The sequence below is a fragment of the Homo sapiens genome, chromosome 12, assembly GCF_000001405.40.
Source record: "Homo sapiens chromosome 12, GRCh38.p14 Primary Assembly".
In the NCBI taxonomy this organism is placed as follows: Eukaryota; Metazoa; Chordata; class Mammalia; order Primates; family Hominidae; genus Homo; species Homo sapiens.
In genome coordinates, this window is record NC_000012.12 from 2567319 (window position 1) to 2585554 (window position 18236).

General features: G+C 49.3%; 1 protein-coding gene across 56 annotated transcripts in view; it reads left to right on the top strand.

The window, feature by feature from the left end:
- The window catches only part of CACNA1C (calcium voltage-gated channel subunit alpha1 C), a 727171-nt gene that overhangs the window by 596539 nt on the left and 112396 nt on the right, over positions 1-18236 (top strand). For all 56 annotated transcript variants that reach the window (XM_017019926.3, XM_017019934.3, XM_017019946.3 and 53 more), the window contains 5 exons: positions 251-476; positions 14272-14479; positions 15504-15624; positions 17185-17299; positions 18058-18178. In XM_017019926.3, coding sequence (XP_016875415.1) covers positions 251-476; positions 14272-14479; positions 15504-15624; positions 17185-17299; positions 18058-18178 — 791 coding nt within the window. The remainder of the gene's footprint in view (positions 1-250; positions 477-14271; positions 14480-15503; positions 15625-17184; positions 17300-18057; positions 18179-18236) is intronic.

Sequence of the window (18236 nt, forward strand, 5' to 3'; positions counted from 1 at the left end):
GAGGAGGAGAGATTGTGTGTGCTGAGCCTATGGTGCATGGGAGATGCTCAGTAAATGTCTGTTATGATTGTGACGAGAGAGCCCTTTCCCATTGGCTTGGCCCCAACTTCTGTTCTGGCCGAGGTGGATGGGAGAGGTGTCATGGGGGATCTTTTTTCCAATGGAGATAATTACTGTATTTCCTTTCCCTGCCTCCCTCTCTGCCTCCTCTGGCCCTGCTCGGATCTCATCCCTCTCCTGGGCCTGCCAGACACGGCAAACAAGGCCCTGCTGGCCCTGTTCACGGCAGAGATGCTCCTGAAGATGTACAGCCTGGGCCTGCAGGCCTACTTCGTGTCCCTCTTCAACCGCTTTGACTGCTTCGTCGTGTGTGGCGGCATCCTGGAGACCATCCTGGTGGAGACCAAGATCATGTCCCCACTGGGCATCTCCGTGCTCAGATGCGTCCGGCTGCTGAGGATTTTCAAGATCACGAGGTACTGGGCTCCCCCTCTCACTTTGAAGAGGGGACTCAGGAAGAAGTTCTTCCAGAGGGCAAGGGAGGTGGCAAGGCCTGGGTGGGAGGGGGGCTGTTCTTCCTCAAAGGGTGTCTCTGAAGTTCACATGCAATGGGGGTAGTTTGTGTTCATTTAGATGGCACATCATTTGGAAATTCCTCTGGCTGCTAATACCAGAGACTCAACTCAGTAATGTAAGCAAGCTAGGGACTTATTCAGCCATGGAAAAAAAGTCCAGAGGCAGCTAGCTGAGGTGCCTTCAAGAAGAGGGTCAGGGACTCAATCTCTTCTCCTGTGCTTCACCAGCCTTGGTGCTGATTCTTCTCCAGGGTCATAAGATGACTTCTGGAGACTGAGCCATCACATTCAAATTGGAGGTGGGAAGAAGAGAAAGGAGCAAAAGGGCCGACCACCCCGGCCAAGTCAGCTTCTCCACTCCCAGAAGTCACTCCCAGACACACCCATTAGGACTGCTGCTGTCAAAAAAAACTGAAAATCATAAGGGTTGGCAATGACATGGAGAAATTGGAACCCTTGTGCACTATGGGTGGGAGTGTAAAATGGTGCAGCCACCGTGGGAAATGGTATGGCAGTTCCTAAAAACGTTAATGATAGGATTACCCTCTCATCCATCAATTCCACTTCTGGGTATATGCCCAAAATAATTGAAAGTAGGATCTCAAAGAGATATTTGCACACCCAAGTGCCTTAGACAGATGAATGTATTTTTAAAATGTGGTCTACACATACAGTTCAATATTATTCAGTCTTAAAAAGGAAGGAAATCCTGACACATGCTACAAAGTAGATGAAACTTAAGGACATTATGCTAAGTGAAATAAGCCAGTCACAGAAAGACAAATACTGTATGATTCCATTTATATGTGGCTCTTAGAGTAGTCAGATTCACAGAGACAGAAAGCAGAATGGTGGGCGCCCAGGGCTGGAGGGAGGGGGCAGTGGGGAGTTAGTGTTTAATGGGTTCTGGAGATGGAGGATGGTGGTGGTTTCACAACAGCGTGAATGTATTTAGCACCACTGAATTCTACAGTTTAAAAAAAAAGGTTAAGATGGTAAATTTTATGTTATGTGTATTTTAACACAGTGAAACAAATTGGAAGAAATCTTCCAGAAGTCTCAGCAAGGGCTTCTGTTCTTGAGCACCTGAGCTGTTAGGGAGGCTGAGAAATGCAGTATTCTAGCAGGACAAGTTCTGCTGAAAATGCGTTCAAGATCTAGCCACTGTAAAGGGCTGTGGACACTGCACTGCAGATGGTGTTCACCCTCTGTCCACATGGCCACCCCTCCATATGTCAGTCCGGCACCTACCCAAAGCAGGCCATCTCCCTCACTGTCTAGGCCAAGCAGTGACTCTCAAGACAAGGACAGGGCTGAGGGGCACCATGCTCTAGGACAATGATTTTCACCTGACTTATGACCACTGGGAGTGGTGGAATCCATTTATTGGATCACAACCATCATTTTAAAACATACTGAAATATAATTCATATCCCATATATTTACCCCTTACAATGTGTAACTTAATTGTTTTTTTATATTCATGGTTATGCAACCATCACCATGTTCTAGTTGTAGAACATTTTCATCACCCCAGAAAGAAACTCCATACCCATTCCACATTTCCCCCATCTTCCCTCCCAGCAACCAAATTCACTTTATGTCTCTATAGAGTTGCCTATTTTGGACCATTCATGTGAGTGAAATCTTATAATATGTGTTTTTGTGATGGCCTCTTTGACTTAGAATAATGTTTTCAAGGGCCATCCATGTTGTAGCATAGATCAGTACTTTGTTTCCTTTTATGGTGAATAATATTCCATTGTAGGGATATACTACATTTTGTGTATTCATGTATCAGTGATGGACATTTGGTTGTTACTATCTTTTGGCTCCTATGAATAATGCTGCTATGAACATTCATGTTCAAGTCTTCCTATAGATGTAGGCTTTTGTTTTTCTTGGATAGGTACCTCGGAGTGGAATTTCTAGATTATTTGGTAACAATATGTTTAAGATTTTGAGGAACTGTCAAACTGTTTTCCAAAGAGACTAAAGCATCTTACATTTCCACCAGCAATGTATAAGGGTTCCAATTTCTTCACATTCTCACAAGCATCGTTTTTAAAGAAAGAATGAAATAGAATAGGAAAACATCAGAGGGTCTCACATGAACGTAAACATTGTTTCATAAAAAGCTGAGATGCAGACCTGACTTGCAGTAGAATACATATTTCTTAATGTGCGTTATGATCAACCTTAGAAGACATATGGGAAACACCTGGAAGGAATTTTCAACCTGTGCCCCTCTAAGGTACAAGTCCCCTGTCCTTAAAAATCTGCTTTGGGGGCTCCCAAAATCTCTGCTTTGGGGAATCTTTGATAACAGGAGCACTAAAACCATCCGTTGGATTGTGATGGGTAAAAAGGGATGGAGGTTGGTGTCTTCAGTTCAGGATCTGGAGCTGATGGCATCTTGCTCAGAGCGTGTTTCTGAGTGTCCCTAGGTGTTGCTCTTCTCGTCACAATTCTCTTGGCAACCACCCAGAGCATGGTCACATGGTGTTGTGGATGGTCCGGGGAGGTAGACATTTAAAGTGTTTCATTTAGTGCACAGAAAGGACTCAATATGCAGAAGCTTTTATTATTCATCTAATATTATGACTGCTATTATTAGAAGGAAGAAAGAGAAGAGAGCTAATAGTGACCTACATATTCACATACTCTTGTTCTTACTTATTTACCCACTACGTATATACTGTGTATTGAGCTCAGAGAGATGGAAAAAATCGAAAAATAAGGCGTATGGCGTGAACTAAATCCAGGAGAAATGTATAGTCTGGTTGGGGAGATGGAGTTTGTGCACATGAAGAGATTAAAGGAAAATCTATGACAGAATATAATGAGCTGGCAAAGTGTGGTGGGCGTGGGAATTACCTGCTGTGAGAAATTGGGAGCAGGAGATAGCTCCTGGAGAAGGTTGAATCTCAGATGAGGGACTTAACAGACACCCACGATTAAAATCCAGAAGTTTAATGCTCCTAAGCAACAGCCTTCTTTCCCTCTCTGACCCCATCGAAAGAGAGCTCTTCCTAAGTGTCCTGAATATGTTGGCATTACAGAAAGTCCTTGGTTTACAGTGAAAGTGGTAGAAATCCTTATATCAGCAATGATTACCATGCACCAGTGCTTACTCTGTGCCAGATAGGGTGAGCAGAGGCCTACGAATGTTAGCTTGAGTGATCCTCCCAAGTACCTACATGAGGATGAGGATAGGCTACTACTATTATTATTCCCACTTTGCAGATGAGAGACTGAGGCTTAGAGAGTTGTCAGTTGCCCAAGGTCACAAAACTGCTCAGAGGTAACACTGGGATTAAAAGGCAAGGCAGGTCTGTGGTCTGACTTGAGGTGCTATACTCCTAACCACTGCCATGCACTGCAGAGCTGAGAGCTGACCTGTCTTCTTGTCTAGGTCCCTGAGACAGGACTTAAAAGATCTTTATGCCCTGGTTCTTGTTAGATAATTGCCGATTCTACTTGCTCCTCCTGGGGTCTGGTAAAACTATTTTTAACTTGCAGTTTTCAATGCCTCTTAAATAATTCTCAAAAGTCCCTGTTTTGGGCTTTTATGTATATATTTCTATAGAAAAGAAATCTTGCTGCTATATATTGTTATGACATCTTGAAAAGATTTAACATTCATTCTATTTTTAATCACCAATTTATTTCTAATCTGAAGATATTGCCAAGAAACCATTTTTAAAAATCTATCTTAATCAGAGAGCTTCCTGTAGTCCCTCCACAAGAAGGAGTAGTAGTATTTTCAGATCTCTATGAAGTCTATAAACAGAAAAAATCATTGTCTAATTGAAAGTGACTGTGGCAAAGGCCGTCATCTTCCTATTTTCAAGTCTCCAAAGCCTCTGGGGGCTTTCGGAAAGCAACAAAGAGACTAATTAGGTTGGGGGATCCCATAAGTCCGTCTCCAGCGCCAGCCTTGGGACTGGGTGACAGTGACCAAGAAAAATGCCTAAAATATGGGTTGGGAGTGGACATTGTGGTCCCTTCAGCTGAACCTTGAAATGGGTCATCTGTGCATGGTCCTGCCATCAGACAAGTGCATGCCTTCTTCTTTTAAAATATCTTGGAAAGTACTTTGCAATGTCTTGCTGCTACTCATATGTAGAAGAAATTTCTTCTCTTTTTTTTTTTTTTTTTTTTTACAATGTAGTCTGAACCAGTAATTGCAATTCTTAAACTTAGCTGAACCCATGAAGGAGTTCATTAAGGAGCTCATCTCTAGAGATTTTGGCCAGCAACTCCTGGAGAGTTCCATGCTAGTGGTCCAATGACCGACCTCACTTGAAGAACCACTGGCCTAATTTCCTACTGCTGCTCTTGGTCTGCTTTCTTCTCCTAAAATACTGCCCTTCATATGCAATCGGAAAACTTGATTATTATTCCTCCTCCTCCTCCTCCTCCTCTTCCTCCTCCTTCTCTTCTTCCTCCTCCTCCTCCTCTCCTCCTCCTTCTCCTCTTCCTCCTCTTCCTCCTCCTTCTTCTCTTCCTCCTCCTCCTGTTCCTCCTCCTCTTCCTCTTCCTGCTCCTTCTCCTCTTCCTCCTCCTCCTCTTCCTCCTTCTCCTCTTCCTCCTCCTCCTCCTCTCCTGCTCCTTCTCCTCTTCCTCCTTCTTCTTCTCTTCCTCCTTCTCCCCTCCTCCTTCTCCTCTCCTCCTCCTTCTCCTCTCCTCCTCCTTCTCCTCTCCTCCTCCTTCTCCTCTTCCTCCTCCTCCTCTCCTCCTCCTTCTCCTCTTCCTCCTCCTCTCTTCCTCCTCTTCCTCCTCCTTCTTCTCTTCCTCCTTCTCCTCTTCCTCCTCCTCTTCCTCCTCCTCTTCCTCTTCCTGCTCCTTCTCCTCTTCCTCCTCCTTCTTCTGTTCCTCCTTCTCCTCTCCTCCTCCTCCTCCTCTCCTCCTTCTCCTCTCCTCCTCCTCCCCTCCTCCTTCTCTTCCTCCTCCTCTTCCTCCTCCTCCTCCTTCTCTTCTTCTTCTCCTCTCCTCCTCTTCTTCCTCCTTCTCCTCCTCCTCTTCCTCCTCCTCCTCTCCTCCTCCTTCTCCTCTTCCTCTTCCTCCTCTCCTCCTCCTCCTCCTGTCCTCTTCCTTCTCCTCCTTCTTCTCCTCCTCCTCCTCCTTCTTCTTCCTTTTCTTCTTCTTCTTCTCTTCCCTCTTCTTTTTTCAAGACAGGATCTCACTCTGTCACCTAGGCTGGAGTGTGGTAGCATAATCATAGCTCACTGTAGCCTCAAACTCCTGGGCTCAAGTGATACTCCAGCCTCGTCTCAGCCTCCCAAGTAACTGGGACTATAAGTGCCATGTCTGGCTAATATTTTTATTTTTTGTAGAGATGGGGTCTCACTATATTGCCCAGGCAGGTCTGGAACTCCTGGACTTAAGAGATCCTCTCACTTGGCTGACCACCTTGCCCAGCCAAAAAACTTGATTCTTACATCTCCACTGTCTTCTCCATACTGTAGTCTCTAATTCTGTCAAGATGGTACTTTTGATAGTTTTTGACTGAGAAAACACATCAAGGTAAGAACTACTATGAATTCAGCAAAGCTTTTAAATTTAAATTCCTACACATCTGTGTATGTTTGAAAAGTGGTAATATGAATGCAAGACAAGGCTGTTTATTCAGAGTAGTATAATGCTTGGTGTACACATGGATTCATGGATCCCTTTCTAGAATTCTAGAATTCCAGGCTGCTCTTCCCTCACCCAGGACCCATGGTCCAAGGGTCGGGAACAGGGATCTAAATCAATGGTTCTTCACCCTGAGGTCATGACACAGTGGTACATCCAGAGCAGCTGGATAGTGATAGCAAATAATTTATTACTGAGAGCTGAAATTCCAAAGTTTGTGAATAGTTTCTTTAAAAAATAAAACAAATTAATATTGTCCTTGTAACATAATAGCATCACTCTGTCACTTGCATTACAAAATGCTTCTATGAATGGGTGAGATCCGGGTGGACTTACAACTCATCCATGATGCCTGAAGGGAGCAGATGTCTTTGATATATCATTATGAGGAAAATGAATTATTTACATACTGACATTTTTTGTGTTTTGTCAAAATCTGAGAACACCTTAGGGAGTATGCTACATGTATGAAGATCATTCATCCTCTTGTTGAGAACACCTTAGGGAATGTGCTACATGTATGAATATCATTCATCCTATTGTTTCAAGACAAAAAAAAGGCCAGGAAGCCTGTACTAGACTGTAAGAAAATTACTTTATAGAAAAGATTGAGGAAGACAAGATTCCTGCTCATTGAAAACAGTGGGGCACACGCATGGCCGGAATCTTTGTCATCTTTGAGTAAATGCCCCAGTACGGTGGGCCTTCCAGCCTCATGATGGATTGGGTTCTTCCACCTGTGGCTCTTGGTGCTGCCCAGATTCAATATCCAGTTTTTCTACTCTTTGTCAGCCCAGTCTGACATATTCTGTGGGGTGGGAGAAGGGCTCCAGACAGATTCAATCCGGACGTGATACCAGTTTACTGATTGCATCTCATTTTTGACACACTTGGTTTTCAAGTGCAGTGAGGCCCCTCTAGCACTTGCTGTTTCCCCTCTCACACCTTCAATCCCTCTTTATTTCTCCTGCTGCTCCTCCCCTGCAGCTCCCTTCCCAGGCCTTGAAATGGGAGCTGGGGCTGATTCAGCACAGACAGATTGGCTCATAAATCTTGGCCACATATGGGCCCCACAGAGCTCCAGGTGAGAGCCGTTAGCACATCTCCCAGGCTCGAAATGTCTCCATGTCCCTACCAGCATCTGGCCTTGAGCAGCAGATCCAGCCCCACACCTTCCCAGCTCTTCCATCACCTTCTAGCCCCCACTCTTCTCAGGCCCCCTGGAGCCTCTGAGCTCATTGAGGGCCATTATTAAGGAAGTCTGTTTGGCAGATGCCCAGTTCCCTGGCAGGGGTCTGTGGCAAAGGTAGCTCAGACTCCAGAGCCTGCAATGTGGCTGTCAACACAATGGGTGGTTCTCCTTTGGTATGGGAATGGACTGGTGTCACCTACTAGGAGAAAGATTAAAAAGATGCAGGTGAGGATGACTCCCTAGCCCTGACACAACTGTGGTTGGAGGGGCCAACTAGGTGACACTGAGTAGCCCCGTGGCCCAGAAGCTCAGAGAAGCATGCTGCTAAGGCCATCCCCAGGTCCAGGCCAGACCACCTTGCCCGCTTGACCAGGTTACACTCCCCATGCAGGTTCCGTTCTTAATGTGACCGAGACATCTGCTGCAAACAGAGAAGACAAGACCTTTGAACTTGTTAACTAAGTCAGCCCTTGCCTCAAAAGTGAAACCACAAAATGGTCTTCCCAGCCTGCTAGAATGGACGGGAGCAGGGGCAGGTACCAGTAGAAACTGAACCGGTAGTTGAGGCCTTGGGGCCCAGGTTGTCCCAGACCAAAATACTCTAGAATTCTGCTTGACTCCTCCTGGCCCAGCCCAGCATATACGGTTCTGCCTCTGGGCATCCTAATCCCTCCCAGCTCTATTGTGTCTTAAGGGGCTGGGGCTCAATTTGACGGAAGCTCTGCTCTGAGGACACCCCCTCCTGTGCTCACTTGCTGGATGGATTCTACCTGCTTCCCCAGGTGGCCTCAGCCAATTCTCACTCCTCTTCACTCCATTGCCTCCCATGAAGCCCCAGCCACACAGATTCACCACAGGGGACTGCTTTATAACTGCTCTTTTAACAATAGATCACTTGCCACCGAAACTAAGAATTTTTTTTTAGCCTTCAGGATGAGAACATTTTGGGCAGGTATCAAACTCAGTTATGACCTTCTCTGGAACACAGAGAGAATAGGGTGGAACATTTGCAGAGCATCCGAAAGTGGTGGGTACTGTTATTTTGAAGATCTCTTATTTATGGCAAGCTCAATGCTCTGCTCTATACCTAGAATAAAGGTAAAGGACCTGGCCCTGAGCTCTTTGAAGCAAAAGGTTCATGAGATGAAAGTTCCAGTTCAAGGAAGGCTCGGGTCACTTTATATTATAGAAGAGGAGGAAGAATTCCACAGAGCCCCAAACCCAGAGACAGACCTAGAGACGGGGAAACAAATGGAGATAAAAGGATTTCTGAACAGATGGTGGTAACTTAAATCAGGAGAGGCAGAGGGAAAAGGTAACAGAAGTGACATGGTGGTCGGCAAGTGAGAGAGCTTAAAGGGAGGCTGGGAGTAGGAAGGTAGAGGGAAGGAGAGAATTTAGGTGGCAGAGAACTTGATGTGATGAAAAGCCCTCAGATGTGCTGTACTTTTAAGGATAAAACAGGGAGCCGAGTGGGTCAGATGGGGGATGGGGTGAGCAGGGACGCACAGTTTGGAGAGAATGATTCCAGCAGCTGGAGAATGGGAAAGGAAAGTTGATGCCAATGATGGCGACGCAGGCAGAGTGTCTGGGGGGTGATCTAGAGCTGGACACCGGCACCCGGGTGCTGTAGAGCCCACAGTACTGAATGTGAGCTTGTGGGCATGTGTGTGCACTGCTCTGATGAGAGAGTGCTTCATTTTTATGCTTTTCCATGAGGCCTGTGACCAAAAGACATGAAGTGCTTTGCTCTGCTGCTGCTCGCTTCTCTCCAAAGCTCTTGCCTTTTTGGTGTGTGAGCGTGTGTATCTCATATTTTTGACCAATGAGGAAAAAAGCTTCAGCTGATTGTGAATGTGCCATTAACCCCTCTAGTTTACCAACAGTGAATCTTCCTAAAAAAGATGGTGATTCTAGGATAGGAGGCCATCATCCAATCTTCAGGCCATAGCTGTGCGAGCCATCAGACCACATTAAGAGGAGGGAGTGTGAGGACCTGCAGGACCGCCAGCTGTTTATTTAAGTGGTTTCACGTCACCCTACCCACCTCAAAGGCTGCCACCTGGACACCTCCAAATCCCATCCATATCAGTGATAGTGAGCCCCCACCCTCAACCTGCTACCAGCCAAGGCCTGCCAGTCTCCAGAATTCAGCCCATCTCCTCTGAACCCTATCAGCATTCTTTGCCACATCATCATTTCAGCAATTCCTTTGTCTCATCTTCTAGATGAGCATATAAAACATCCCTGATAATTTGCACGTTAGGAATGGAAGCCTTCTGCTCAGCAAGCTGAGCACCCCTCGTGATGCCAGGCCCTGGGCAGCAGCCTGCCCCCTTTATCCTGCTGCAAAGGAAAGGAAAGGACAGGTGGCAGGCCTGCCTCGGGCCCAACCCCATCTTTCTCTCTGTTGAATGGGAAGCAACAGTAGGCTGAAGACAAACAGCACAAACAACCATATCTCTGTCTGTCTGTCTGTCTGAGCCATGTTTTAACTGTGTTACTGGTCCCCAGGACAGTGTCTTTCCCCTCAGGTGTTTTTCATGTAGACAGTAGGCTGGTGCCAATTCATCTTTTAAACAGAGGCTGACCTGTGCCCTCAAAACTGGGACCAGTGAATTTGAGAATGTGAGTTCTTCCCCAAAGGTGACACATGTTCACAGTGATCTGGAAATCCTACTCCCAAGGTTTGCTCAAGCCACAGAAACCGTTTTCTGTAGGACATATTGATACATATTAGTTTGATGCATGGTCTGGCAATGGAACAGTCAGGAATCTCAGAAAATCCCTCCCCATGGATGTAGGGAAGCTATGGGAATAGGAAGGCTATGGGAGCAGGGGCAGGCAGCCACTTCTCACTGTTTGGCAAAGTGTGTTCAACTTAAGTGCACACGCACACAAACACACATGCACAGAAGCACCCATGCACCTCCATGGCCCCTTGCCTTTCCCTCCAGGAAGTACCAATGTGTCATATGAATAGTAAGGTTCATTCATTCACTGAACAAAATGTTTGCTCATCACCTGCTTTGGGCCAGGCACTGTTCTAAGCTCCAAGGATATAAATGTAACAGATGGGTTCCTTCTCCCATGGCCTCACATTCTGGCGAGGGCAAGCAGACAATAAGCAAAGAAGTAATTATTCTTTTTTTTTTTTTTTTGAGACGGAGTCTCGCTCTGTCGCCCAGGCTGGAGTGCAGTGGCGCGATCTCGGCTCACTGCAAGCTCCGCCTCCCGGGTTCACGCCATTCTCCTGCCTCAGCCTCCCGAGTAGCTGGGACTACAGGCGCCCGCTACCACACCCGGCTAATTTTTTGTATTTTTAGTAGAGACGGGGTTTCACCGTGTTAGCCAGGATGGTCTCGATCTCCTGACCTCGTGATCCGCCCGCCTCGGCCTCCCAAAGTGCTGGGATTACAGGCGTGAGCCACCGCGCCCGGCCAGAAGTAATTATTCTTTGAGAGTAATGAGGGATAGAGCGGTGGCCAGGGGAGATGTGAGGCCTGAAGGAGCTGAAGGGGTGAGCTCCACTGACGTCTGCCAAAGAACCTGCGGACGGACAGCAGCATGGCCTTGGTCAGGCAGGAGCATGTGTAGGAGTTGGAGAAAGTGAGGGGGCCCGAGGAAGGGGAGTGCAGCTGGCTGGTCCCTGAGGCTCTGGGCCCAGAATCTACAGCCTCTGCTAGGCCTTTGGGAGGACTCTGGCTTTGACCCAGAGGAGAAGGGGAGGTGACTGAAGCAAGACTGAGGCTTCGTGGGCCTCACCTCATAGCAACACCCGCTGCTGCTGCAGCTTGGACATCAGCTGCCCGGAGCGGGGGTCCAGGCAGTGAGGATGAGGAGGCGGTGGGAAGTGGCCAAAGTCAGGACTCATTTTGAAGATGGCGCAGAAGGATTTGCTGATGCAGAGTGTGAGAGAGCCAGGAAGATGACTCCGAGGACTTTGCCTTGAGCCAAAAGCTATGGTTCTCATTTCCTTGAGACGGGGAAGGTGATGGGTGGGAAGCAGGAGCTCCATCAGAGCACGAACCCGGTGTTGTGCAGCTTGGACTTTCCCAGACGCCCCAGGGGTTGAGGGAGGCAGGGGCGGCAGGGAGAGTGGGCAGAGGGTGCTCCTCCAGACACAGCTCTGTGTCCCTGCCCACGTCCTTGCCTTTGGCCTTCGCTCTAGGAGATCCCTGCTAGTTTCCATGCTCCATCTCTGCCTTCCCAGGAGTGTTCTCCCCTCTTAGAGACTGGATCTGTTCCTGGGCCACAGCCTCCTCCTCCCTGGAGCCCCAAGCATTCTGAGGGGCTCCCAGGTCAGGAGGGCCCCCCCACCTCACCATCCCTCTCTGCTCCTCATCTGGGGCCTCCCCCAGACTTTCTTGCTGACGGCACCTGGCCCTCTCCCTCTGCAGCCATGACCTGCTTGTCAGGCTCCCGTTGGTCCCCATGGCTGTCAGACATACCTGGGTCTCAGGTATAATCCCAGTTGCAGTTATTTCCCACATGCCTCTTTACTTCATGAAAACGAAGGCTCCAACCTTCCATGACCATTAAGGCTTTTCCAGAATCTTCCATGACAGTTGAGCGCACAGAGGATCTCTAGAGGATTTGTGACTTCAGTGCACATGCGGACACTCTTCCCTCGGATACAGCTGGAAATTCTTGTTATAAATATGCTTAAAGTTGCTGGTTCCCAACTCCCAGTGTATTGGCAGGTGTTGGACTGGTCGCCTGAGGATTACCCCAGCCCCAGAGTCAGCCCCAGAGTCAGAGATTAGGGTTTCATGGTGCAAGGGAGGGACCTGGGAATCAGGATTTAGGAAATGCTAACACACCCCTACTGGTATTGTTGTTGTTCTATTATTAATTAATTAATTAATATTTTAGGACAGGGTCTCACTCCGTCACCCAGGATGAAGGGCAATGGTGCAAACATAGCTCACTGCAGCCTCAAACTCCTGGGCTCAAGTGATCCTTCCATCTCAGTCTCCCCAGTAGGTGGGACTACAGGCATGCACCACCACACCCAGCTAATTTTTTAATTTTTTAAAGATGAGGTCTCACACTGCTGCCCAAGCTGGTCTCAAACTCCTGGCCTCAAGCAGTCCTCCTGCCTTGACCTCCTAAAGTGACAATCCTCCCAAAGGGGGTTATAGGCATGAGCCACCACCATGCCCAGCCACCTCTACTGATGTTGATCACCGGGCAGGCTTGGGAAAACTGCTTTAGCTGTAAGAGGGGAGGGTGTTCTACCCCCAGAGAGGTTCTCTTACTTTTTCCTTTAAGCAGATCACTACAGCCTCTAGCCTGCAGGGGCTCCAGGCAGTCCATCACACATACTGGGTTGTACAGAATTTATATAAGGACAGAGTTGGGAAGCTGGAGGGGGACAAAACCCTGCAATCTTCTGCCGTCTAAAATTTAGAGCCTATTTTGGTGAGACAAGACTGTATAGAACAGATACAAATAGATGTATATTAATATTCTGCAACAGAGGGGGTATGGCTGGCAGGCAAAATAGAAGTAAGGAAAAGCTGGATTTGTGGAGGCCAAAGGTGCCCTCGAGGCTGCAGGTTGGTAAAGAGTTCATGTTGCCATCCAAACTATGACCCCTCTGCTTCTGTCCCTTGGTGTGGAACCATTCTCTGCAGAGATGAGCCCAGGCTGTGGCTGCAATGGGAGTGGCTTGCATGTCACTCACTGAAGCAGCAAAAGCAATCCACTGTCTGGATTGGTGATGAGCTGGGAATCTCTCAAGGGAGTGACCTAGGAGGCAGGTGGGCCAGAGGGGGCCAGAGGGAAATGAGATTGTTCTGTTCTTGCTCTTGCTCCCTCAGGGCCATGTCCTTTTGCCATGGTGCACTTCCTGGTCCTGAGCTGACCCTCACACAGGTGCCCACCCTGCATCCAGCAGTCATTAGTAGGTTCCCCCTCCCACTTTGTCATGAGAAAGGGATTTTCCCAGGATCGCTGTATTTATAGTGGAGAGAGGCCCCAGGACTGTAAGGAGTGGGGACCTCCTCCCCAGGAATCCCACTGAAAGCCCATGTCCCCTCAGGACCGAGCTCCTGCCCACTCAGAGGACTCGTGCTTTGAGCTGCCCCAGTGGGTGTGACAGGTTTGCTATAATCTAGGATTTCCCAGACTCACCTGCTGATCAGAATCCTGTAGGATGCTTGTTAGAAACAAAGATATCTGGGCCCCAAACTACAGCTAATGAATCACAATCTCAAGAGGAAAGGCCCTTAAAGAAACAATTCTTAGGACAGCGTAAACTTGGGAAACCACCAAGCCATGAACTCTCTCTTACCCGTGGGTGACCTAATTCCTGCCTCTGCTAGAAGGCTGCTGCCTATAGGCTGAGCTCAGACTGGCATTCATGGTGGGGGAAAAAAAGCTTTCTTTCTGTTTAGAGACCAACAGTGACAACAATGATTACCAACCTTTATCAACTATGTGCCAGGCACTCTACAGGGGGCTCTTTGGGGAAAGGTGGATCATGTCACGCAATCCTGCCATAGCCTAATGAAGCAAGGGCTACAACAATCTCCATTTTTTTGATGGGGATGCAGAAGGCAGGGAAGTGAAATGTCTTGCCCAGAGGCACATGCAGCAGGTAGCCGGCAGAGCTAGGTCGCGGGCTTCTGACCACTGTCCCCCTCTCTTCCCCAACAGATTAATCATCTTGAGACCTTGAATTAACTCCCTCCAGGGTGGCAACTCACACCACCACCAACACGCATCCCCCACGGGCAGGGAAAAAGAGCATAGAGTGGCAGCTCCTCTGAGAACCTGCAGTGGGCAGTTGTGAGAATGAGGCACGATGGGGAGGACAGCAAGGGGCAGAGTGCTGACCTCCCTCCTGTTGGCTCTCAGGTACTGGAACTCCTTGAGCAACCTGGTGGCATCCTTGCTGAACTCTGTGCGCTCCATCGCCTCCCTGCTCCTTCTCCTCTTCCTCTTCATCATCATCTTCTCCCTCCTGGGGATGCAGCTCTTTGGAGGAAAGTTCAACTTTGATGAGATGCAGACCCGGAGGAGCACATTCGATAACTTCCCCCAGTCCCTCCTCACTGTGTTTCAGGTATGGACTCTTCTCTGCTGGGATTCGGACTCGGGGTGGTTGAGTGGCGGGGTGGTGGGAGGAGTGTGGGAAGCTGCACCCTTTTACCGGGCAGCCACAGCCATCCTAGATCAGCCCTGGAGAGCCCATGCCCGGGAGAGTCTTGAGTTTTTTCTGTAGTTTCCCTGTCCCCATCTGCCATGGAATTCCACTAGTGGGTGGACCATTAGGGGAAACAATATAAGTGGTTTAAAAATGCCTTCTCAGGAGAATCTCTTGAACCCAGGAGGCAGAGGTTGCAGTGAGCCAAGATTGCACCACTGCACACTCTAGCCTAGGTGACGGAGCAAGACTCCGTCTCAAATAAAAAAAAAAAAAATCGTTCTTATCCATGGAATCCTTTACTTAAATTCTCCATGAAAGCCCAAAACATAAAGAAAAGCAGACTGCTCTTACTGGGGGAGGGGAGGGTGACGAAACCCTGGCTTTCCTACCATGCTTGTCTCTTGAAAAAAATATTACTAGCCCATCAAATTTGTGATTTCATAGATATTTTGGCTTAGGGCAAACTCAAAGTGGCATCTATTTAAGTTTAAAAGCAGATCGATTGAGAGGTAAAAATGAATCACATGTAGATGTTGTCAAAGTCTTGAAGATGATGCCCCAGTGACGAATGTTTGGGGAAAGCTGGTGTAGCCTGTGGCTGTCTCAGCAAACACACAACTGCAAAAGGGTCCTGACGCCTTACCCCCAGGAATGGCTGACGGTCAGCTCAAGCATGTGTGGGGAAAGTCAGAGATCTTTGGGCCAAAAAGCCCTTTTAGTCACCCTTCAAATAATATTATGCCAATAGCCAGGCATTTTGTCTAAGGACAGTTCAATAGCTCAGAGCCCCTGGGGAGGAGAATTGGGGGCCAGGAGGAGGGAAAGAAGTGAAAGGGAAATTTTGGACAATTTTGTTGACGTAGTGGGGCAGGGCAGGGTGGTTTTGGGTTTGCTGTTGGTCTAACGCTGTGTCCCTTATTGGTGGGAATGTGTCATTCAGATCCTGACCGGGGAGGACTGGAATTCGGTGATGTATGATGGGATCATGGCTTATGGCGGCCCCTCTTTTCCAGGGATGTTAGTCTGTATTTACTTCATCATCCTCTTCATCTGTGGAAACTGTATCCTTTGCTGCTGCCCCCCACCCCTGCGGCCCCCAGCCCCCAGCCTGCAGCACAGTGCCAAACGGGCACGCCCCTCAGGTCCGGGCGGTCCTGCTCGGGCTCACACCACCCAGCCTAGAACCCCATGGCGGCGGAGGTGGGTCTGGGTGGAAACCTGCAGCTTTGGCATGGGTGAGGTTCACCTTCCTGAACCCTCCGGGCCCGCAGCGGCGCCGCGCTCCGGGCGGGCTGTCGCCGTAATCTGGGTGAGCGGCGCCCCCTGGCGTTGCGGCGTGTGCGGCCACTCACACCGCCTGCGATAGGGACGCGCGGGAGCGGGCCGGCTGCCCTGGGGCCGCGGCGTCTGCTCAGAGGCGGGACGCTCCGGGAGGGAGGATGAGCCGTTGTCCTTCAAGTGACCTTCAGCTCTCCTCCTGCTTTTTGGTCAGCAGCCCTCTCTCTGATGCTGCTCTCCAGGACTTTAGTCACGGGCAGAGCTGCACAGACTTCAAACAGCCCCAAAAGCTCCTTCCTGATCCCGGCTGGGGCAGGTTTCCAGGGCACAAGCCACGGGTGCTGCTTCTCTTCCCCAGCTCATAACCCCGAGAGAGTCACGTCCAGAGCCAGGGGTAACATAGGAACAGCTCTGGGCCAAGTCCCAGCTAAGGCAGTGCAGAAAACACAGTCATGGAAGCCTGCAGACAAGGTTTCCTCTTTTCCCAGCTGGATGACCTCTTGCAGATTGAAGGTCCTCTACCTCAGTGTCTGTAAAATGTGGCAATGGAATCATAGAACCTACTACATAAAGGGTCGTTGGGAGTTTTCATGGGATCATGCATGCAAGGCCTCTGCCACATTCAGAAGCCACCCTGGACAAAGCCCCTCTTCCCCAGCCTGGGTTGCTGCGGCTTCCCTGTGTGTGAAATGATATGAATGTCTGGGTGCCTGGGGCCGGGGGTCAGACTTCACAGACTTAAAGCCCCCTTCCAGCTATGCTTTCGTTGATTCTGCAGTTCTCTGACCCACAGTGTTTCTGTTGGTGGAGTGGGGAGGAGAAAGGGCAAAGAACTGTCTCCACTGGGAACTCCCAAGCCTTGGCTGGCTCCAGATGGACCCTCCAAGGGTCTTCGTGGGTGCAGGCTCACATTAAGAGTTGGCAGAGATACCAAGCCACCCCCTCAGCGCCCAGTTATAATAAACCGCTCTTAAGAGCGTTCTGCATCCTGCTAGAGACAATGCTGTTTATAATGTCAATTACAGCCAGTCATCTCAGCAGGGAAAGCAATCATGAAACCCAGCAATTAAAGTGCAAGGCAGGGCTTGCTGCCTCCCTCCCGCCTGCTCCAGTGTGCAGGCTAGCCTGTTCTCATCCCTCTTGATAGCTCCAGGTAGCTAGGAGGGTGATGGGGAGGAAGGGGAGGGGAGGAACACTGTTGGGGTCTGACTCCCTCAAATTGCTTCCCCCTCAAGCTCTCTCTGCTGAGGAGCTCTACCCTGCACGCCCCACATCCCCCGTGCCCCTGTGCCCACCAAAACCCCAAACCAAGGGTCATTTTCTTTAAGAATGGACACAAACAGATATCCTACTGAATGTGTTCTTGGCCATTGCTGTGGACAACCTGGCTGATGCTGAGAGCCTCACATCTGCCCAAAAGGAGGAGGAAGAGGAGAAGGAGAGAAAGAAGCTGGCCAGGTAACCCTCTAAGCTTGCCCAGGCCTGGGGCTCCAGGGCTCCCATTGTGGAATGTCTTCCCACTGGTGGCAGAGAGAGGCTTGACTGCTAGCCTCTGTTGGCTCTCCCTCCTAGGAGGACTCTGGGTTTGGGGCTTCCTAAGTTGGGCCTCTCTCCTAATTCCTAAGCATCACTCTGGTAGGGACCATCATGAATTATAATAATCTCTGCAATGGTGTCATATTCTCCACCTGCTGGGATTATCTTTTGAGAAGCTGTGATAGGTGGCAGGAGTGTAGGGTGGGGAGAGAGAAAGGTAACCACTCAGTTGGGAAACGCAGCTCCAGCTTACAGAGGGAGTCCTCCTCACTACTTTATAATTCATCTCCAGTGTTAGGAAGGCAAGACGGGGCCCTATGTTGTATCCTATCATTATCTAGACGGGACAGTTCCAGGCCACACAGCTGCCGGGCACTGAGCAGAGCTCCTCCAGGAGCCAATCCTAGATGAGATCCACCATCCTTTTCTGCTTTGGCGACCCAGGCATCTCTGGAGCTGCAAGAGGCCAATTGCGTGTCAGGCAGAGCAGGTGTAGCTCAGCCCCATAGCACTTGTGACTGAGCTGCACACGAGAAGCGTCCTGGAGAAAGGAAGATGGACTCAGACCCAGGGGATCTGTCCCCTCTGGCCCCAACAGGCCACAGGGCGGTTCCCTCCTACACTGTTCCCTATCACTCCAGTAAACAGCCATTTATTTTTTTCTGCTGCTGACTGGCCAGGACTGCCAGCCCAGAGAAGAAACAAGAGTTGGTGGAGAAGCCGGCAGTGGGGGAATCCAAGGAGGAGAAGATTGAGCTGAAATCCATCACGGCTGACGGAGAGTCTCCACCCGCCACCAAGGTGAGGAGCTGTCTCCTTCCTGGAGCTGTGAGGCCGGTGCTGGGGAGGGAGGGCCACA